Source organism: Homo sapiens, chromosome 18, assembly GCF_000001405.40.
Source record: "Homo sapiens chromosome 18, GRCh38.p14 Primary Assembly".
NCBI classification, from domain to species: Eukaryota; Metazoa; Chordata; class Mammalia; order Primates; family Hominidae; genus Homo; species Homo sapiens.
Window position 1 is genome coordinate 21031302 of NC_000018.10, and position 23492 is coordinate 21054793.

Consider the following 23492-nt stretch of genomic DNA (forward strand, 5'->3'; position numbering starts at 1 on the left):
ATATAGAAAAATGTTAGAAACCACCAGGCGTGGTGGCTCACGCCTGTAATCCCAGCACTTTGGGAGGCTGAGGCAGGTGGATCACAAGGTCAGGAGATCGAGACCATCCTGGCTAACATGGTGAAACCCCGTCTCTACTAAAAAATACAAAAAATAAGCCAGGTGTGGTGGCGGGCACCTGTAGTCCCAGCTACTTGGGAGGCTGAGGCAGGAGAATGGCGTGAACCCAGGAGGCGGAGCTTGCAGTGAGCTAAGATCGTGCCACTGCACTCCAGCCTGGGCAACAGAGCGAGACTCCATCTCAAAAAAAAAAAAAAAAAAAAAGAAAATAATATAGAAACCACCTCTGAGGAAACCAAGATATTAGATTTACTCAACAAAATCTTAAACTCTCTTAAATGTGTTCAAAAAGCAAATGAACACTATGGATGAAGTACCAGGAAGATGATGACTTAACAAAGAAAAAATATCATGAAAGAGATCGAAAATAGAACCAAATAGAAATTCTAGCACTGAAAAGTACAATAGCTGAAGTTAAAATTTCACTAGAAGGCTTCAACAGCAGATCTGAACAGGCAGAGGAAAAAAAACCAGTGAACTTGAAGATAGGACAAATGAAATTATCAAGTGTGAGGAACAGAAAGAAAAAGGATGAAAAAGTGAACAGAGACTAAGGAAACTGTGGCATCAACCAGACCAACATACACATTATGGGAGTTCCAGAAGGAGAGAAAGGGGCAGAAAGACTATTTGAAGAAATAATGGCCAAACCTTTCCAAATCTGGTAAAAGATATAAATCTACACATCCAAGAAGCTGAATGCCAACTATGAAAAACTCCAAAAGCTCCACATGAAGACACATCATAATCACATGCCATAATCAAACTGTCTTAACTCAAAGCCATATGAAGAAGAAAAAGGAGTATCAGTAAAGGTAACTATTTAGATAAATGTAAACAGAAGCAGGTTTTTAAGCTACTCAAAGTAAACTGGTATCAATTCAACCTAGATTGTTTTCAATTTAGAATGTTAAGTGTAATTCCACGTTAACTAATAAGAAAATGACTAAAAAATATACAGAAAAGGAAAAGAAGAAGGAATCAAAATAGCATACTAGGGGAAAAAACTAAACACAAAAGAAAGCAATAATGTATTAGCTGAGGAATAAAAAGGAAATATATGACATAGAAAACAAATAGGAAAGTTTTTTTTTTTTTTTTTTGAGACAGAGTCTCAAAAACACCCAGGAGTGCATTGCACTACACTCCAGTGTAGTGGTGCAATCTCAGCTCACTATAACCTGTGCCTCCCGGGTTCAAGTGATTCTCTGCCTCAGCCTCTGATGTAGCTGGGACTATAGGAGTGCACCACCATGCCTGGCTATTTTTTTTTTTTTTTTTGTAGAGATGAGGTTTTGCCATGTTGACCAGGCTGATCTCGAACTCCTGGCCTCAAGTGATCCACCTGCCTTGGCCTCCCAAAGTGTTGGGATTACAGGGGTGAGCCACCACACCCGGCCTACAGTGACAAATTAGATAACTTAGATGAAATAGAGACATTCCTAGAAAACACAGGCTGACAAAATCTATTTTAAAAGAAATAAAGAATCAAAATAGGGCCATAGTGGCTCACACCTGTAACCCTAGCACTTTGGAAGGCCAAGGGAGGGTGGCTTAAGACCAGGAGTTTGAAACCAGTCTGGGCAACATAGCAAGACCCCAGCTCTACAGAAAATTAAAAGAAAATTAGCCAGGTGTGGTGACACATGACCGTGGTCCTAGCTACTCAGGAGGCTGAGGCAGGAGGATCCCTTGGGTCTGAGAGTTCAAAAATACAGTGAGCTAAGATCATGGCACTGCATTCCAGCCTGGGCAACAGAGCAAGACCTTATCTCTATTAAAAAAATAAAATAAAATGAAGAAAAAAAACCCATATGATCATTTCAGTTGTCATACAAAAAGCATTTGACAAACACAACACCCCTTCATGATTGAAAACACCTGGCCAACAAGGACTAGAGAGGAACTTCCTCAATATGATAAAGGACATTAATGAAAATCCCACAGCTAACATTATATTCAGCGGTGAAAGACTAAAAGCTTCCCCCTATGACCAGGAACAGACAAGGTGCCCACTTCTACCACTGCTATTCAACACTTTACTGGAAGCTCTAGTCTGAGTAATTAGGCAAGAATGATAAATAAAAGGCATATAAATTGGAAAAGAAGAAGTAAAACTATCTCTATTTGCAGGTGACATGATCCTATCATAGAAAACCCTAAAGGAGCTACAAAAGAATATATTAGAGGTAATAGACAAATTCAACAAAATTGCAGGTTACAAGATCAGAAATAAAAGTTCTACTTCTATATACTAGCAATAAACAATATGAAAAGAAAATTAAGGGAACAATTCCATTTAAAATAATGTCAAAGGCCAGGCGCGGTGGCTCACGCCTGTAATCCCAGCACTTTGGGAGGCGGAGGTGGGCAGATCACGAGGTCAGGAAATCGAGACCATCCTGGCTAACTCAGTGAAACCCCGTTTCTACTAAAAAAAAAAAAAAAAAAAAAAAAAAAAAATTAGCCGGGTGTGCTGGCGGGTGCCTGTAGTCCCAGCTACTCGGGAGGCTGAGGCAGGAGAATGGCATGAACCCTGGAGGCGGAGCTTGCCGTGAGCCGAGATCGAGCCACTGTACTCCAGCCTGGGCGACAGAGCGAGACTCCATCTCAAAAAAAAAAAAAAAAATGAAAAAAAAAGTCAAAAAGAAATACCTAGGAACAAATTTAACCAAGGAGGTGTAAGGCTTATGCACCAAAAACTTAAAAACGTTGCTGAAATTAAAGAAGGCTTAAATAAATGGGGACACATCCTGTGTTCATGGACTGGAAAAGATAACATTGTTAAGATGATAATACTACCCAAAGTAATTTAAAGATTCAATGCAATCTCCATCAAAATCCCTATGTCCTTTTTGGCAAAGACGTAAAAACCCATTATAAAATTCATATGAAATCTCATGAGATCCCAAATAGTCAAAACAATTTTGAAAAAGAACGAAGTTGAAAGACTCACATTTCCTGATTTCAAAACTTACTACAGAGCTACCATAATCATACAGTGTGGTACCAACATAAAAACAAACTTATACAGATCAATGGAATACAACAAAAACCCCACAAATAAACCCTCATGTATATGGTTTAATGATTGATACAAGGTGCCAACAACTTTCAATGCAGGGAAAGGACAGTCCTTTCAACACATAGTGTTAGGAAAACTGGATATCCACATACAAAAATGTTAAATTGGACCCTTACTATACACTATATAAAAATTAATTCACAATGGGTCAAAGACCTAAACATACTAGCTGAAACTATAAAATTCAAAGAAAACATAGGTAAGACATTTCATGACATTGGATTTGGCAATGATTTCTTAAATACGAAGCCAAAGATACAAGCAACAAAAGAAGAAATAAACCAGATCTCATCAAAATTAAAAATTTTGTGCTTGAAAGCACTAATAACAGAGTGCAGAGAATAGAAAATATCTGCAAACCATGTATCTGATAAGAGATTAATATCCAAAATTTTTAAAGAACTCCTATAACTCAACAACAACAAAAAAACCAAACCACCAAATTTTAAAATGGGCAAAGAACTTGAATAGAAATCTCTCAAGAGAAGATATACGAATGGCCAATAAGCAACATGACAAGATGTTTACCATTCCTGGTCATTAGAGAAATGCTAATCAAAGCCACAATGAGATACCACTTCACATCCATTAGGATGACTACTATTTAAACACAAAAAACAAACAAACAAAACAGAAAAGAACAAATGCTGGAGATGTGGAGAAACCAGACCCATGTGCACTGCCGTTGGGAATGTGAAACGGTGCAAACATTGTGGATACTATTATGGCGTTTCCTCAAAAAAATTAAACATATGGCTGAGCGTGGTGGCTCACGTCTGCAATCCCAGCACTTTGGTGCACTGCTGCTGGGAATGTGAAATGGTGCAAATGTTGTGAATGTTATGGCATTTCCTCAAAACATTAAACATATGGCTGAGCATGGTGGCTCATGCCTACAATCCCTGCACTTTGGGAGGCTGAGGCAGGAGGATCTCTTGAGCCCTGGAGTTTGAGACTAGCCTGGTCAACACAGCAAGACTCTGTCTCTACAAAACTAACTAATTATCATATGACTTAGCCATTCCACTTCTAGGTATATACTCAAATTAATAGAAAACAGGGATATTACAGAATATCCATATATATAACATTAATATGGATATAAAATATCCGTAATATAATATGGAAAGCAGATATTTGTATTCTACTGTTTGTTATTCACAATAGCTAAAAGAGATAGCAATCTTAAGTGTCTATTAACGGATAAATGGATAAACAAAATATAGTATATCCATACAATGGAATATTATGATACATGCTATGACATGAATGAACCTTGAAGACATTGTGCTAGGTGAAATAAACCAGCCACAAAAAGACAAATATTATAGTAATCTACTTAAACGAAACACCCTGAGTAGTAGTCTAATTCATAGAGACAGAAAGAATAGTGATTACTGGACAGGGAAATGGAGAGTTACTATTTAAGAGTTTAGTTTAGGATGACGAAAAAGTTCTGGACACAGTAGAGGTAATAGTTTTAAGACAATGTGAATGTACTTAATGCCACTGAATTGTACAGTTAAAAATGCCCAACATGGGGAATTTTATCTTATGCATACTTTATCACAATACAAAGAGATAACTTATTTTTTAAAAATCCATTATAATGTTCAGAACGTCTAAACTCCTAAGTAAAAGAGCCCTGAAACTTGCTAGGCCTTCAGTTCTTTATTCACAAAGCCCACATTGATAATCTCTCCCGTGAGAATGTAAAATTCAAACAGAAAGGTTACTAGTCTTGATTAACTCACAGAACCTAGAATAATATATATGTGTGTACACAATGAGTTTTGAGCCGGCAGAAGTATTACCACTGTTAGCATCTTGTGTGTTGCCCACAAACTATAGGTTGATTAAGTAACACCAATATCTTATTTCAAATGAGATAATAATATATGGCAAAGTGTTTTGCAAGTTACCACATATTTAATGTAGTATTATTAATTTTTCTAAAGAAACAGTTATTGTTCTGTTGCCCAGGCTGGAATGCAGTAGCATTATCATAGCTAACCGCACCCTTGAACTCCTGGGCTCAGGTGATTCTCTTACCTCAGCCTCCCAAGTAGTTGAAACATAGGTGCATGCCATCACACCTGGCTAATTTTTTATTTTTATTTTTATAGAGATAGGGTCTCGCAACATTACCCAGGTTGGTTTCCTGGCCTCAAGAGGTCCTCCCACCTTGGCCTCCCAAAGTGCTGAGATGACAAGCATGAGCCACTGTATAATACTGTAGAACACTGTACAATAGAGCCACCTGGCCCTATTCATTATTAATATTAATATGTTAAATATGTGGTAACTAGCAAAATCCTTTGCCATTTATTTCATTTGAAATTATTAATACTATGTTAAATACTAAATATAACAGTATTATTAATAATGTATGCTAAATATGTAATAAATGTTATTTTTTTTCCCCCAAATTTAACTGCCAACAATTGTCAATTCCTTCCATTTTTGATCTATATAACACTGAACAGGTAACGATCTTTAAATCGTACATGGTACTTCAAAGATCAAAGGCTTTGGAGTTAAGAGACTTAGATCTGAATTTTGACATTGTTGTTTGCTTGCAGTTATGACCTGTAGTAAGTTATTTAGGTCTTTTCATTTCTTTTGTCCTTCTCCTATCTTTGATCTTACTCATGTTACTCCTTCAATTTTATCTCAAATGAGTGGAAAAATAGTGTTAAAATCTTCATACTTTGTGAACAAGATCAGGAAGCTCATGGAAATTCTGCCAAAAATCAAGCTATTTTGTATCCTGCTCCCACATTACCAAGGAACACAAGGTGAAGATTAATTGCCATTGCAATGTGGAGACATGTTAAGTGGTAAAAATACCAAAAAAAACTATTATTTGTATTAGAAAGCAATTTTGCCACGGAAAATGGAAACCCAAAAAAATTAAAAGGAATTATAACTGTTACATAAGTTTTAAAAATTTAGCAGGTCAAAGAGGTCAGTTCAGAATAAAAGAATTCTTGGTATTTTAGGGGTGGGAAGTAAAGAAGGGGTAGGAAGAGGGGAAGGGAAGCAAAGAACAATAAGTTCTACAGATTTCAATTTTTCTTTGTTTTTTCCAATAACCACAAAACAGGACCTCTTAGAATTAGGAAAAACTACCAAAATTCTTTTAAGTATGCTAAATCTAACCACGCTAGAATAAAACCATAGATAATGCAGATCTTAAGTAGTTTTATGAAGGAGGTACAGCAATATAATAAAATGCCACTGATCTGGACTCCCTAATTCCATAAGACTATGAGCTCCAGAAGGGAGAAAGAAAACTTTTGGTGGTTTGATCACTGCTGTTTTCCCAGTGTCTGAAATTGAACAGTGATCAATATACAACAGGTGTTCAGTAAATAGTTGTTGACTAAATTACCTCCTCTTTCAAGTGATCGGTTTTTCAATACATAAAAGGAAAAATATCCTTGTTACTTTTGCGGTTGATTTATTGTGTGGTTATTCTATAATTATTTATGCATTGCTTAACTTTGAAAAAGAATTTAAAGCAATACAAAATATTATTTTGTATTTTCTTCAGTCCCCTTCAAAGTTTTATTCAGATTTATAATAATATTTGTACGTCTTCAGCCTTCTTAAACTTTACTAAGAGAATAACCTGAATAAAAACACAAAAAGTGTTTTGATGTAACCATTTCTCACTCCCTGATCATCTCTTTGTCATGCAACAATTTCACTTGCAGCATGAAGATAATAATTATGTCACATTTAATTCTGAAGAGGAGGAAGTTCCTTATTTCCTAGTATATAATTGCTAATAAAATTCTCCCAAAGTCAAGCTGCTCTTACAGCTTCTCAGACAGCTGGTCATTCAATGATGTTCTTTGTTGTATAATTTCTTAATTTCCAGAGGATTTATTTTCCCTTTCTCCTCCTTAGACAATTTTATAGCTCAGCACAATGTAAGTACTGTGCTATAGTACTTGAAGGCAATACAATTGTTCTTTTAAAATATTTGATAACTAGAATGCTTCACTAATATTAGCAAACCTACATGATTTATTTCATCAGAATTAACAAGATTTCCATCTCTCTGCAAAGTACTATCCTTCACTGTCTCAACTAGATAGGCAGTCCTTAAGACAAATAACTACTGTGTAACTTTCTAAAATAAGGTAGCTGAGTTCATTTCCATTGTTACTATTCACTGCTATTGCTAAGGCAGCAAGTTAGGGACTGAGATACATTATCCTTTCTCTGATAGATGAACAGGGAAAAAAATCCTAAGATGTCAGCAGGGGAAAGATGAATTCTTTACCTCCCAAATCCACGAAGATGATGAGAACCTTTGGTGTCATGATAATTTTGATTCAGCTATGTTGTAGAGTTTTCTGTGAATCATCTTGTAATTTTAACTTTTTTTAAAAAGTAAGAAAGTGTTCTAAACTGACTGAAAATTAGTTTCTTATACAATACATTTTTGTTTCTGAATTGCCAGCTGCAAAAGCCTGATGGAATCAAGTATATCACAATATCCTATAAACTCATAAATAAAATTAAATTGAATTCTGGAATTAATAATAGAACCTTCTTATATTTTGGGTTTTAATAAAAACAAGAGAATAACTTGTCTTCTCACAAAAACATATATTTTAATCTCATTACTTACTACTTATTGACCACCTCCATAATAAGATAACTAACGCCTAAAATGAACAATTCAACAAAGATCAAATGTAAAATTATGACTGGTGAGCCTAAATCCATTACATTTATATTTCATCTGGGTATCCTGCGTGGGACATAAGAGGAGTAACAATATAATCTGCCCAATATTATCAAATTAATAGGTTAGGACAATTCCCATATAGTATTTGTGGCTTCTGATTTTCATCAGATACACACAAATATTTAGCAATGTAGTTTCAACAAACTACCACAACTACTTTCAAATATTCACTAAAATATGAAAGAAAAAAAAAAACTTACTGTCTCGGAGCGTTTCCCAAGCCCACTGGTCATTTTTGAAGAAGAGATGTCGTTTGATTTCTTCTACACCATTTCGCCCTAACCTCACTTCCCTGAATAATGACAGAAGGAGAAAAGTAATCAATCATTTAAGATCTTATTATAACCTGTCCAGGTTTATTTGTGGGCAGGATATTAAATCAGTGTAGGACGACAAATATAGTTCTAAGGTGAAATTATATTGTCAGCATAGTATCAGCCCAAATAGAAAATATGTTAAAGATTGAGAACATTAAAGAATTTTTTTAAAAGAAAACTAAAGAAAGGCTGGACATGGTGGCTCATGCCTATAATCCCAGCACTTTGGGAGGCTCAGGTGGGGTGGATCACCTGAGGTCAGGAGTTCGAGACCAGCCCAGCCAACACTGTGAAACCCCATCTCTACTAAAAATATAAAACTAGCGGGTGTACTGGAACACGCCTGTAGTCCCAGCTACTTGGGAGGCTGAGACAGGAGAATCGCTTGAACCCGGGAGGCAGAGGCTACAGTGAGCTGAGATTGCGCCACCGCACTCCAGCCTGGATGAAACACAGCGAGACTCCGTCTCAAAAAAAAGAAAACTAAAGAATAACTACAAAAAACACCCATGACTTTTCTACTGACAACAAAAATCCAGATTAATCACCACCTTACTTCATTAGCAAAATGAATAAAGCACCATGCATTTTCTTGACAGTTTTTTGTGTGTGTGTGTTATTTTTTTCTTACAATGGTAAAGTTAGGCTTTTTTTTCCCCAACCAAAACTTTACTTAGGCAGCAATACCAGATGCTACCAAAAACCTCCAGAAACACATTTAAAATTTTGAACTTCCAATTTATAATCTATTAATTATTTCTGACCATTCAAAAGCCAATGACTACTAATTCTTGATACTGCCACAGAATTCAGAGCTTTCACTGGACAAGTTACTGATACCAGCCTCTTTTTTGGTGAGCAAAAAGTTTTTAAAAATGTGATTTTAGCTGAATTGGAAAAAGAAAGTTAGCACCTTTTTTCCCTAGTACAGTGCTTATAAATAAAGAAAATACTCTAAATTCTAAGTTTTTGCATAAGCTAAAAGATAAGTTGGCTTAGACATGTGACAATTTTTCCAAGAAGCTTTCACTAACTCTCAAACTGGATTAGAAAACCTCTCCATGGTTCTCCGGCACATGGTACTTATCTCATGGTAATTAGCTGTGTGTACTATAAATGTCTGATTTGCTTATCTAATTCCCCCAAAGGACTATGAGGTATTTGAGAAAAGTGGCTCTGTATCTTCCTCACTACTATATCCCTAGCACCTAATAAACAGCATAATACAATGCTTTATATTAAAATGTAAAAATTGGCCAGGTGCGGTGGCTCACACCTGTAATCCCAGCACTTTGGGAGGCCAACGCAGGCAGATCATGAGGTCAGGAGTTCAAGACCAGCCTGGCCAACATAGTGAAACCCTCTCTATCAAAAATACAAAAATTAGCCAGGCATGGTGACAGGAACCTGTAGTCACAGCTACTTGGGAGGCTGAGGCAGGAGAATCACTTGAATCCGGGAGGTGGAGGTTGCAGTGAGCCGAGATCATGCCACTGCACTCCAGCCTGGGCAACAGAGTGAGACTCTGTCTCAATCAATCAATCAATCAATGTAAAAATTAGCCAGGCATGGGTGGCTCAGGCCTGTAATCCCAGCACTTTGGGAAGCTGAAGTGGGAGGATCACTTGATCCCAGGAGTTTGAAACCAGCCTGGGCAACAGAGCAAAACCCTGTCTCTATTTAAAAAAAAAAAAAAAAAAAAAAAGTAAACATTTGAAAAACCATACTTCAAGCTCTAAAGGACATAATGAAGGGAGACAAGTTAAAGCAAATCTCAACTTGAAACATATTTAAAAGTACTAGGTCTCCCTAATATTTAACAATATACAATCATAAACATTAAATATAATCTTACTAATACATCTGGTTCACTTTCAAATTTCAAAAGTAAACCACAAAGGTATATATAATATGCCATTTTTCTTTCAAAAATGCAGACAGACATTATTATTAAAATGCTTGTTGGATCTACAAGATGGAACACCAACTATTATGTCTAGAAGAAAAAAGATAGTATACTTTTAAAAATGGCTTTATACTATTGACTCTTTCAACAACCATATACCATACATCATCAAATCTAAAATGGTTTAAAGTATAAGGTGTATCACCGTTTTTATACCACTATGAAAAAGGATGCTCCCAACTCATACCATTGACTGTGAGATGTACTCTAATTTCAGAGATGTTATGTTAAAAAATTTTTTTAGATTCAGTAAAATACACAGTAATTTTTATAATTAACCAAGTTAAAAATTGAACAATAAAAGAAAAAAGTCATCTAGTTTAGCCATCAGCCAAGACTGTATTATTATCACAATTTCTTAGGTATGATAAGTGAGTTGAGATCTACAAAAGACATCTAGAATATCATAAAATTACATCAGGTTTCACTGTCATTTATATTCTAACAATTTACATGTAGAAGCTCAGATATGGACCTTAAAAATGGAGCAGAAGATGAGAAGTCCTCAGAATTAATACAGGCTCAGTTTTAAAATTATTTACCTGTCAGTAAGGAAGGCACAAATAAGGTTTTTTGCTTCTTTTGATATGTCATTATCATCAGGAAAGGTAAGTGAATTTTTATGGTTCATAATTTTACTGTAAGTTCCAACCAAAGAATCTGCATAAAAAGGTGTATCACCTGAAAAATTGATAAAGAAAACAAAAGCAAAATGAAATACATTTTTAAAAAGTCAGTTTCAAAGGAAGAGTCAAAGTTACCCGTTTAAAAAGATTATTAGGTATGTATTAAACTAAAAACATACACCTAATATATAAAAGAACACATCACAAAGTTGCTCTAAGCCTCTAAATGCTTTTAAAAACACATACGAAGCAGGTTTGGATCATGTTTATTACCCACAAATAAAATCAAGATTGCTTAATATAATAAATATATTAGAAAGAGCCAAGTGGCAAGTTTTGAGATGAACAACTGTAATAGAGAGACATAAAATCTTCCTTACTCACCTACAAGCATTTCGTATAAAAATACCCCAACCGACCACCAGTCACATTCTCTTCCATAATAACCATCACCACCTTGGGATTTTAATACTTCAGGGGAAATATAATCAGGTGTTCCAACCGCTGTATCACATCGTACCATGCCTTCCTAAAAAGCGCGGCAGGTCAAATTTTGAATTAGGATATAAAGTCTCAATTATTTAAAATGACTTTCTTATTAATATTACCTATGGGACTCCAAATCTTTGAGCTATAAAATATCATATATTAAAACTGAATGGAAACCTGACAAAAATTAACACAGCTTAATCATATATATACATACTATATACACACCATATACATATATACCATATAATGTATGTATGTGTATACATGTGAATGCATATACACACACATTATATGTGTATTCACATATATACACACACCAGTGATTATTTTGTAATAATGCTCACTAGAAAAACATACTGCCACATTTATTATTCCCCAAGTTGTGCCAATATCATGAAACCATTTAACTGCTGAGAACAAGTACACAGGCCAGTGCAAATACACTGGGGAGTTCATAGGATAGGGCATTTTACAACATATTGGTATAAACACTGACTTCATTATTTTCTACTAAAATAGCTATTTAACTATGTTTGAAACTACAAAAGAAACATACAAAAGCTGACTGTACAAATACAAACTGGGGAAGCATATGTATGGGAAAAGGGCATAATAGTGTAAAGCACACTGAATGTCTATTTGATGTGAATTTTAACTGCCCTCCCCCAACAAACCTGAGAGACTTGTTAGCTGTTACCTATATTCGCTGGTATTAATGAAACAGCATTATAACTAAATGTTCATACAGAAGTTCTCATGCAGTGTTTCCTTCACTGTGTATATGAAGTGAAGGAATAACATATACACAGCTCCTTCAGCTCCTTCAGCTGTGTATATGTTATTTATTATATAAATAACATATTTATTTATGTTATTTATTATATGTATATACATATACATAATGTATATGTATATACATATACATAATATGTATATACATATACAGCTGTGTATATGTTATTTATTATATAAACAGTGAGGATAGGTATCTTTTAAGACTCACTCCTAAAATAAGCAGTAAAATCTTTTATATGTTAACTGAAGTAAAACACTAAAAAATACACACATTACTGGAATCCAATTTTTATGAAAGTCTAATTTTAACACTGGCATAAGTATTTAGTGACATTTAAGCTAATTCCATTCCTAGTTACCAGTAGTGTATATTAGAGTTGTTATGAAGGATTTAGTAAATCTGGCAATCCATATTTACCCTAAATAGAGAGGAAAAAATAAATCACTAACAAGTTACTAATACAACATTGAAACCATGGTATCTAGTTCAACAAATAAGGTCATATTAATTCTGGACAAGTCCAGCTATGGTTAGTAAATTCTTACACCATTTTCTAAAGAATTCTTAAACCATTTTCTAAAGAAGCATCTACCTTGAATTAGCAAAAACTAAATTAAAATCTAGTTAATTAACCTTATTCATCTTCATACAAGTACCAAAATCTGCTAACTTCAAATGTCCAGATTTATCCAGCAGCATGTTATCAGGCTTCACATCTCTGCAGGAGGGAAAAAATAGTACAGTATTTTCTGAAACAGATTAGACACTGTAAAAATTATATGAGGCAGTTATTTTAGGTCAAGCATCCTCAATCTAGGTAAGGCCATCTTTGATCTGTATGTGTTCTCTATCCACATCTATAAATTAAATTTCATCAAAGAAACTTCTTTATATGTTAATGCCTCAGAAGAAAACATATATATTCCTTTTTTAAAAGTTTCATTCTTTCAGAGGGAAAATCAAATCATTTGAGAGAGACAGACCATCAAAAATACAACACTCAGACATAAAAGGTGATTGAAACATATTAGATAGGTAAGTACATAAAAAAACCCCACGGCAGGGTCTAAGTCACTTTCATTTTTGATCCCTGACATGTAGGCACAGCAACTGCACACAGGATTCAAGCAGTGTTTGTACAACAAATGAAACTATTCGTCTAATGAATAAATACGACCTATTCACTAATTAAAAGCAAATTAAGTTACATATTTAAAAAATTAACATCAAAGTGTTTAACTCCTGGCACATACCTTAGAAAACTAGTTTACAAGTTTTACTTTTCAGAACACCATTTAAAGGCTATATGATCAGATTAAGGGATATTAAAGAATACATTTATATCAACATTAAATTGAAATGCTAAAATTATAAACTTCAAAGTTTGGAGTTCTTTTTTTCCCCCCTTCCTGACATAGAATCTCACTCTGTCACCCAGTCTGAAGTGCAGTGACTAGATCTCAGCTCACTGAAACCTCTGCTCCCAGGCTCAAGCGATCCTCCCACCTTAGCCTCCCAAGGAGCTGGGACCACAGGTGCATGCCACCACACCTGTGTTTTTTTTTTTTTTTTTTGTAGAGATGGGTTTCACCATGTTGTCCAGGCTGGTGTCAAACTCCTGAGCTCAAGAGATCTGCCTGCCTCGGCCTCCCAAAGCTCTGGGATTACAGGCGTGAGGCAGCGCCTGGCCAGAGTCTTGAGTTCTGAAAGGTCACTTATGTCATACGGAAGAAGAATGGGTGAACTGAGAGTAAGAAATGTTAAAGTTATTTTTAGCTATTTCCCTCAACAAATGAGAAAATTTAAAGCACTTTTATCTTTACCTGTGAATAAAACCCATGGAATGGATTGCATCCAATGCAAGAACTACTTCTGCAGTATAGAATCGTGCCCATTTTTCAGGCACATCATAGTTGCTCATTAAGTTTACAAGATCTCCACCAGGCATGTATTCCATCACCATGTAGAGATAACGATCATCTTGGAATGCATAAAAAAGCTATACAAATAGAAAAAACAAACAAAACACATTCATTAATGTTAAACAAAATTGTTTCACTTAAAAAGTGGCAAAAATGTTAATAAAAGATTTAAGTAAAATAATCAAATTACAGAAGTTGCAAGTCTAGTTTTAAAAAAAGACAAACATAAATGCCACAAAGACCCTTGTATATGCAAAATGACTATAACATAATTATTCAGAAGAGTTACATGGAGATATCCTTTCTTCATAATTTTCTACACTATTTGAATTTCTTTTACTGAGAATTTTTTTAAACTGTAATATTTTCAGTAAATATACAAATCTCCTAGGCAAAGAAATACTGTATTTCTAATTTAACTTGTGCATCAGTGGGGTCTACTATTAAATTTATATCAATATCACAATGCTCAAGAAGTCTTTGATAAATTTGGCTTACAGTTTCAGCTGTTTTTTTTTTTTTTTTTTTTTTTTTTTTTGAGACGGAGTCTCGCTCTGTCGCCCAGGCTGGAGTGCAGTGGCGTGATGTCGGCTCACTGCAAGCTCCGCCTCCCAGGTTCACGCCATTCTCCTACCTCAGCCTCCCGAGGAGCTGGGACTACAGGCACCCGCTACCACGCCCGGCTAATTTTTTGCATTTTTAGTAGAGATGGGGTTTCACCGTGTTAGCCAGGATGGTCTCGATCTCCTGACCTCGTGATCCGCCCACCCTGGCCTCCCAAAATGCTGGGATTACAGGCATGAGCCACTGCGCCCGGCCTCAGCTGTTTCTTATTAGCTGTGTGACTAGTAATTTGCTTAACCTACCCGAGTCTATGAGACTATAATCTCTTCTAAAACACTGTAAGGACTATACTTCGTTTAACTTTTATACCTGCTGCTTAGTCAAGTATCCAGATGCCTGGCGGTTAGCAATTGCTTAATAAAGGCTTAATGAACCAAATCATAAACTAATCCATAAAGTAACAGTGCACCTAACAGATTAACTGTCTTTCAGGGTTGAGGGTTGTTAAAAAAGATTACTGAATATAGAAAGCACTTAGTGCAACAGATGCTCAACAAATGACAGCAGTCAGGAGGAGGAGCAGTAATAGCTAACACAGAAGTAGGAGGAAGGCAGCAGCTAGGGTTCAAATAGTAACAGCAAAATCCACTAATGTGAAATTAGCGAGGATATCAGGCATAAATATATTATGTGACTGGGGATCAAATAAAAAGAAGGGCAAATTTATAAAATAACATTTTAAGTAAATACAAGAAGTTTAGAATTAAACTAAAAAAAACAAGCCCTAGAGAAGATGATCTCTAATTTACCCAGATGTTTGTCTTAAAATCTTCTTAATGTTTCATTTTTTTCAACTGTGTTTAATAATTTTAGTTATAGATTCAGTTACTTTGTTTTGATTTTTTGTTTTTTTGTAGAGATTGGGAGCCAGTCTTGAACTCCTGCCCTCAAGTGATCTTCCTGTCTCAGCCTCTCAAAGTGCTCAGATTACAAGCATGGGGGCCACCACACCCGGCCCAGACTCAGTTATTTTAATGTAAAAAATGTATTTTGGGGGAAGAGAGAAGGATAAGAAACAAAGTGGCATTTCATGACTATCCCAGATTAAAGTATATAATTTGTCATTTGGGCCCCATAAAGAAATACTGTTAATTTGGTGACAGTTTCACCCTATTTATAGACAATATATCCAGAGAAATAAAGCTCTGAATACCTAAATTGTAAATAGCCCTGAAAGTAACAATTATGTCACATATTTTTTCACTAACAGACACTGAACGTTCATGTATCAGTGGTTGTTAACTAGTGGTGAAAACATTTTTGGTTGTCACAACTGTGTGTGAGGTGGGAAGAGTCACTACTAGCATCCCCTGTGTAGAGGCCAGGAATGCTGCCAAACATCCTAAATAAACACATTAGTAACTGAAATAATATAAAGGATAGCCCCCAACAACAAAGAATTATCTGGCCCAAAATGTCAATAGTATTAAGCCTGAGAAACTCTGATCTACATAGTTGGTAAAAACATAGACATTTCAAGTTTAAAAGTACTATGGTGACCGGGCACGGTGGCTCACACCTGTAATCCCAGCACTTTGGGAGGCCGAGGCAGGCGGATCACGAGGTCAGGAGATCGAGACCATGCTGGCTAACACAGTGAAACCCGTCTCTACTAAAAATACAAAAAATAATAGCCGGGCGTGGTGGCAGGCACCTGTCGTCCCAGCTACTCGGGAGGCTGAGGCAGGAGAATGGCGTGAACTCAGGGGGCAGAGCTTGCTTGCAGTGAGCCGAGATCGCACCATTGCACTCCGGCCTGGGCGACAGAGCGAGACTCCGTCTCAAAAAAAAAAAAAAAGTGCTATGGCATAAACCTTCAACATTTTTCATATCCTTTTAATTCCAATTACTGGTATGCTTTTTAAGGACAGACTTCATTATATATTATAAATAAATCACAAAAACATGTTAGAAAATTAGAAATGGTCTAGCCCAGTTTAACTTCCCCCGTATGACATTTTGCATTAAGGATCCCAATACATAAGACAGATAAAACATGAAGCTGAACTCATAAAAGCAGAGAGAAAACTCAGAATTATAATCTACCCAAAACCCCACTTGACCCCATGATTTTGCCTAAGGTACCTCCACAATTGAACATAACCAATCAAAGACAACTTTCAGACTTATGAACAAGGAAATTGTGGCCCAGAGATGTTAAGTAACATGGCCACAGCTTCAGAGAAAGGCCTATGGCAATCAAGACGAGGACCTAAAACTACTGACTTCTAGTTTTTCTTTCCACTGAAAACCGAAAGACAAGTATTATTTGGTGACCTAGCTTAACTTGGTTTCCTCTCACTTTCCCTTCATTTCTCTTATTATCTCCTCTTCACAAAATAAGAGACAGATAAATGAGGAGACAGCTAAACAAAATGAGAGCCTCATGTTTGGGGAAAAAAATTCAATATTAACTAAAAGTATCTATTTAAATTTTAATAATATACGACTTCCCTCAAATCTAAGTAGATTAAGTTTTCTATATCTTCTGTATTTAAAAATATCTAATTTAAAATTCTGTATTTAAATTTTATATTTATTATTTTTATTTTTGAGACAGGGTCTCACTCTGTTGCCCAGGCTGGAGTGCAGTGATGTGAACACGGCTCACTATAGCCTCGACCTCCTGGACTCAAGTAATCCTCCTGCTTCAGCCTCCCCAGTAGCTGGAACCACAGGCGTGTACCACCATGCCTCAATAATTTTTTTAATTTTTTGTAGAGATAGGTGTCACTATGTTGTCCAGGCTGGTCTCAAACCCCTGGGCTCAAGCTATCCTCCCGCCTTGTCCTCCCAAAGTATTCAGATAACAGGCATGAGCCATCACGCCCAGCACAAATTCTACATTTAAATTAAATTTCCTATATATAAATTCTACAGAAGCATGGTTATTTTGTTCTAGCCTTTCTTGCTAGAAATGATTCAATACAATTAAATTTTAAGATTTAAAAGGTAATTAGACAATTTTGTAACTGCCAGTAAATTCTCTACTACTATTCTAAAACACAAACTAAGCTTCTCAGACATGTTTAGTTACAAACTAATGCAGCAATAATGAAAGAGTAGCAAAGTCATACCTGAACAACCCAAGGACTGTTGGCAAAAGCCATGATGTCCCTTTCTTCCCAGAAAAAAGCAGAATCAGATCTCTTTATCATTTCAAATTTGCTGAGAAGCTTCATAGCATATACCTTCCTGGTGGATTTATGCCTTACCTTTAAAATTGAAAAGGGAAAATAATGAACCTTTTGTTAACATTTAAAGCTCAAGGTTTCACAGAACAATTTACTAAGTGCTTTTAATACTTGCTAAATAATTTAGCCTTACTGTTTCAGTTATTTTTATTTCTTCTCTTCTGCCAAATTATTCCAAGTAGCTAATGTCAAGACTTTAATTATCAGAAGTAATGTTTTAAAAAAATTTTTATTTCCTATATTACAAGACACTTTCCCCCCTCCACACGGCTATGTAAGCTGCTTCCTGTTTATAAAGCTTACTGTTCTACAGCATTTTAGTCTAATATTAGGAGCAAAGATTTATCTTCTGATGCCTGACACTTCTTTTCTGCCACAGATACTTGGGGAAAACACTTCCCACTATGGCTAGATTTGACACTAGGCTTCCATACCCTCAGGCAACAATGTCTAAAGGAACTTAAAGCAACAATTCTATAAAAACAGTATTTTCCCAAATAATATGTTAAACACACAAGTGGATTATTTTAATTTAATAAAGTCCTTTTGTATTCTCATTAAAATAACCTACCAATTGAACTTCTCCAAATGCACCTCTACCAATCACCTTCACTACTTCATAATCTTCAGCTTTCATTCGTAAATCTCTGATTTTATTTATTGTGTCTTTATCTGTATGAAAAGAAAAGTTTATCATTTTAAATCACTAAAGCATTACAACTAGCACTACTTATTTTACATTCGAGTTCTTAAGAAACACAATGAAAAACAACAAACTTCATGAAGAATTATTTGAAAATATGGTGAAACTTGAAGCTATAAAGTAGCTAAATGTTCAATTTGCTAAGATTTTTTAAAGTAAATTCCAGAATAACTTCATTACAACTACTAAAGGTTTTTATTAATCAAAATTTGACTTAACAGAATGTTTTAAAAACAAATATTACACTACAAACAAAAGCTGAAAATAATTAGCTAATTAGTTCCTGGTATTTTAAGTACACATCAAATCTGAATTTAGGAAACATGAGTAGATATTTTAGATTAATACTGGAATAAATTTTTCTTTTTATAAGGTCAGTTTTAGTGATCCTTTAAAAAAAGATGTAATTTAAGATATCAAAGGCAAACACACTAAAAAAAAAAAAAACAGTAAATTTTCCAACTGGTAATCTTTAATACTTATAGCATTACATTTCTCTATTTGAACCTAGATTTTAACTTGAAACACACAGTGAAAATCACTGCAATTATTTATATAAACTTGTCATACTACAAACTACAATAATTCACAAATCCCCACTGGATAGATATTCTAATTCCTAATTTGGTCATAGATTAAAATAGGGCTATTTTAATCCACATGGGTCAACACTGGCATGAGATTACATGGAAAAGCTTCACATTTCAGAGTTGTACAAAATACACAGCAGCTATTAAACTTCAGTTCCAGTTCCTAATAAGAGCTGTATTAATATTCTTGTTTTCCTTTTCAAATGCATTTAAACTCAAGTGTTTGTGTACTTTATGACCAATAAATACATGTAACAGAGAGCAAATTTCTACAAAGTTATAAGTACCTTTAATTTTAGGTTACATATCCACTGCAAGATGCACCAGAAAGATGAACAATAATCAATTAATTCGCTGCACAAATATTTCTATCTACCATACATCAGGCTGTACAGCACTGGAGATAAATAAACATAACTTTAAAATGTAGTTCCTATTCTTTAAGAGTTCAAACTCTAGCAAATAAAACAGAAACAATGAAAAAAAGAATTCAAAAAATGTAATAAGGAAGATAAACAGTTTTTTGAGTACTAAGGAGGACACCTAACTAAAGCCTGCTGGGTGAGAGATAGCTAGGAAGACTTTCTGTAAATGATGGTACCTGAAAAAAGTCTAAACTGAATAGTAGCGGTTAGCTAGATGATAGAGAATGAAAGAAAGAACAGGCCAGGTGTGGTGGCTCATGCCTGTAATCCCAAAACTTTGGGAAGCTGAGGCAAGCGGAATGTATGAGTCCAGGAGTTCAAGACCAGCCTGGGAAACATGATGAAACCCTGTCTCTACAAAAAATATTTTTTTAAAAATTAGCTGGGTGCAGTGGCAGTTTCCTGTAGTCCCAGCTACTCAGGAGGCTGAGGTGGGAGGATCACCTAAGCCCAGGACGTGAAGGTTGCAGTGAGCCAAGATCACACCAGTGCACTCCAGTCTGGGCGACAGAGCGAAACTCTGTCTCAAAAAAAGGAAAGAACAAGTGAACAATATAAGCAGACAAGCAATGTAAACCAAGCACAGAGGAACTGTATCTAAGTTCTATGTTGCTGGAGTATCAAGTTTGTAGTAAGGACTGACAGAAGAGGCTGGAGAGCCCCAGGTAAGTTCAGGAGCTTGAACTTTACCTATCAGCCAGTAGTTACAGTAATAAAACTAATATTTAAGTACCGAAAACCGTTTTCACATTAAAGTTTAAAGTAGCTCTCTACATGAAATAGATCAAAGAAACTGCTCTGTTCTAAATGAGGTTAAAGGTGTCAGAGAAGAGACAGAGCCTCATCTACTTCAGGCTCTTCCATAATACAGTCCCTGAGGAATGCTCTGGAATCTGCTGGGAACTGAGAAGCACCACTACTATGGGCAGGAAGCCATGAAAAGGAATTATGATGGATAAAACAACATAGTCAAACTTACATTTCAGGAAAACTACTCTAGGAAATACGTAGAAGATGAGTTCAATAAAGTCAAGACAGGAGGTGGGGAGAATTTTAAGAGTATTGTAATACCCCAGATGAGAGAGAAAGTTCTGAACCTGGATAATATAATAGCCTGTTACGTTGAAAAAAAGATTCTTGGCTCTAGCTATGAGCTAGAATAGGCTGTAGAGTCTTGACAAAGACCGCAGACAAGTCATTTGAAATCTAAAAGATCTTTCTATGTTCTACTGCCTTGGATTCTAGCTTGTTCTAATACAGGTTTACGTGCTAACAAGTGTAAATGCCTCTGTTGGATGGCTTTCAATCAAACTCAGAGATTCTATGGTTCTACTTTTCCTAGTTCATCTCACCAAGGGTCCAACCTAGAACTAATAAAGAACTTAATGGTAAAATTCTAAGCATTGGACTTTAGTTTCCCAAACACTCAGGACTATGTATTCACACCTACCCAAATCTCAGGATCTTAAACGAAGCCTATTTATTGTAAAGTAGTCATGTAAGAAACCCACTCTTGGTCTAGGGGTACTATATAGCCTGAACTTTGTAGGCTTATGGCTCCATTGAGACAGAAAACAATGCATGCACTAGAACAGGGATTCCCAACCCCTGAGCCGTGGACCTGTACCGGTTCATGGCCTATTAGGAACTGGGCCACACAGCATGAGGTGAGCAGTGGGTAGGCAAGCATTACCATCTGAGCTCCACCTCCTGTCAGATCAGCAGCGGCATTAGATTCTCACAGGGGCACAAACCCTATTGTGAACTGCACATGCGAGGGATCCAGGTTGCACATTCCTTATGAGAATCTTTTTTTAATGCCTGATGATCTGAGGTGGAATAGTTTCATAAAACCATCCCGTCTGCCACCCCCCAACCCCCATCCTGTCCATAGAAACACTGTCTTCCACAAAACTGGTCCCTGGTGCCAAAAAGTTTGGGGACTGCTGCTCTAAAGAAAAATAATAAGTACATAAATAAATATGTAACTTAATTTCACATTGTGATACATATTCTAAAGAAAATAAGACCAAGCTTTCCCAAGTCTGTAAGGGGAGACTATATACACAGGCTAATTCTTCAGTCACTTCAAACTCTGCACTGATTCCTCAAATAAACAAGAGTCAAGGAAAACAACTCAAAATTGGTTATTTTTTAATTGACTATTGATGCCACTCCCAATACCCCCAATTCTTTGAGCAGCTATTCTTGCCCAAAGGCTAACAGTCTTAGGCAAGTTTTTCTCTCTGTACACATTTGTTTGGCTGCTGCAATCACACACCATCAGTGAACAGCTTTCTCTGCTAGGCTAGTGAATAAACCACTCATACACTTACATAACATTGCAGCCTCTTTTTTTTTTTTGGTCAAGCCTGCATGAACATTTTTCTTTATGAAGAAATTTTACTGGGATGAGATACTCTGTTTTAAATTTTCTATTTTTTCTCACTGTTGCTGTCCTATGAGTCAGGAAGATCATAGTGAGTGCTTAGTCTGGGAATGTCCAAAGTACACTGTATTCCTTTAGCACAGCTATACTGTCATTGCATAATTTAAAAAAATGCTTTGCCACCTAACTTGATAAAAATAATCCATTCTCCATTATGCTTCAAAAAGGACAACATTTGGGCTGGGCATGATGGCTCACACCTGTAATCCCAGTGCTTTGGGACACAGAGGCAGGAGGATTGCTCAAGGCCAGGAGTTTGAAACCAGCCTGGACAACATACCAAGACTTGTCTTTACAAAAAATTTAAAAATTAGCCAGGCCCATGGTGGCATGCACTTGTAGTCCCAGCTACTTGGGAGGCTGAGGCAGAAGGACTGCTTGAGCCTAGGAGTTCAAGGCTGCAGTGAGCTATGAATGTGCCACTGCACTCCTGCCTGTGTGACAGTCTTTTAGGGGAGGGAAAAAAAAAGACAACATTTCAAGTATACTCTTCTCTTCTTGCTTTGACACATGCGTATGTACTGGTAATAGAAAACAAATAAAATGTTGTGATATGGTGATACATATAGCACTCAAAACTGTCAAGCTGTAACAGCATCACTGTGATTTCTACTGTGCTGAGCAGCAGTGTGAAGCAAGGAGAGCATCACATATGGTCGCTGTTGTAGCTACTCAGCTTAGGTGTTGTAGAACAAAAGCAGCTATACACAATACATTTTTTAAAGTGTAGCAACGTCCCAAGAAAACTTTATTTATGGACACTGAAATCTGAATTTCCTATTATTTCACATTCATGATATTGTTTCATTATTTCACCATCATGATCATGATGGGCTTTAAAAACCATCTACATATCAACTTCCAAATTTTTATCTCTAGTCTAGTCTCTCTTAAACTTCAAACTTATATATGCAATTGTATATTCTTTAATTATATATTCTTTTGACTTTTTTTTCAATCATGAAAAAATACAAAAAACATGCTTAGTTCATGAGCCACAGTGGTGGGTGAGATTTGGCCTGTGGGCTGTAGTTCACCAACTCCTGCTCTAATAAAACCCAGTGGCCTTCTGAGGGCACTGCTTCCCCACAGCTCTCAAGTGGGGACCTTTACTTTTCCACATGCCTTAGACAACCGACCCTGAAAGTGGGAGATCCCCCACATCCCCACCCCTAAATCTGCTAGCTTTGATTTTCATTATATTAGGTTGTATTTCCCACCTCTCATTGTTGCTGTAATCTACTGACTCTCAGAGGTCACCACGTCTCATCGCTAGACAGTTTTACTTCCTGATTTACTGAACTTCTCTCCAATATTCTCCTGTTTTAATTCTTAATAACTTTAATATACCCACAGATAATACTTACAGTACCTTGGCCTCTCAACACCTATACTTCTCTCCTTCAATGATCTTGTCC

At 36.0% G+C, this 23492-nt stretch overlaps 1 protein-coding gene across 1 annotated transcript in view, besides 1 other annotated feature; it reads right to left on the bottom strand.

The window, feature by feature from the left end:
- The window catches only part of ROCK1 (Rho associated coiled-coil containing protein kinase 1), a 164908-nt gene that overhangs the window by 84396 nt on the left and 57020 nt on the right, over nt 1-23492 (bottom strand). Inside the window, exons 3-9 of the mRNA NM_005406.3 lie at nt 18479-18579; nt 17791-17928; nt 13991-14166; nt 12801-12885; nt 11264-11408; nt 10796-10934; nt 8171-8262 (exon numbers count right to left, since the gene is read on the bottom strand). Coding sequence (NP_005397.1) covers nt 8171-8262; nt 10796-10934; nt 11264-11408; nt 12801-12885; nt 13991-14166; nt 17791-17928; nt 18479-18579 — 876 coding nt within the window. The remainder of the gene's footprint in view (nt 1-8170; nt 8263-10795; nt 10935-11263; nt 11409-12800; nt 12886-13990; nt 14167-17790; nt 17929-18478; nt 18580-23492) is intronic.
- Nucleotides 2668-2855: a silencer, noted in NCBI's record as "fragment chr18:18613930-18614117 (GRCh37/hg19 assembly coordinates)". NCBI's record gives its function as "represses an EF-1alpha promoter that drives an FKBP-Casp9 reporter gene in an ReSE screen in K562 erythroleukemia cells {active_cell/tissue: K562}" and the evidence as "EXISTENCE:reporter gene assay evidence [ECO:0000049][PMID:32094911]".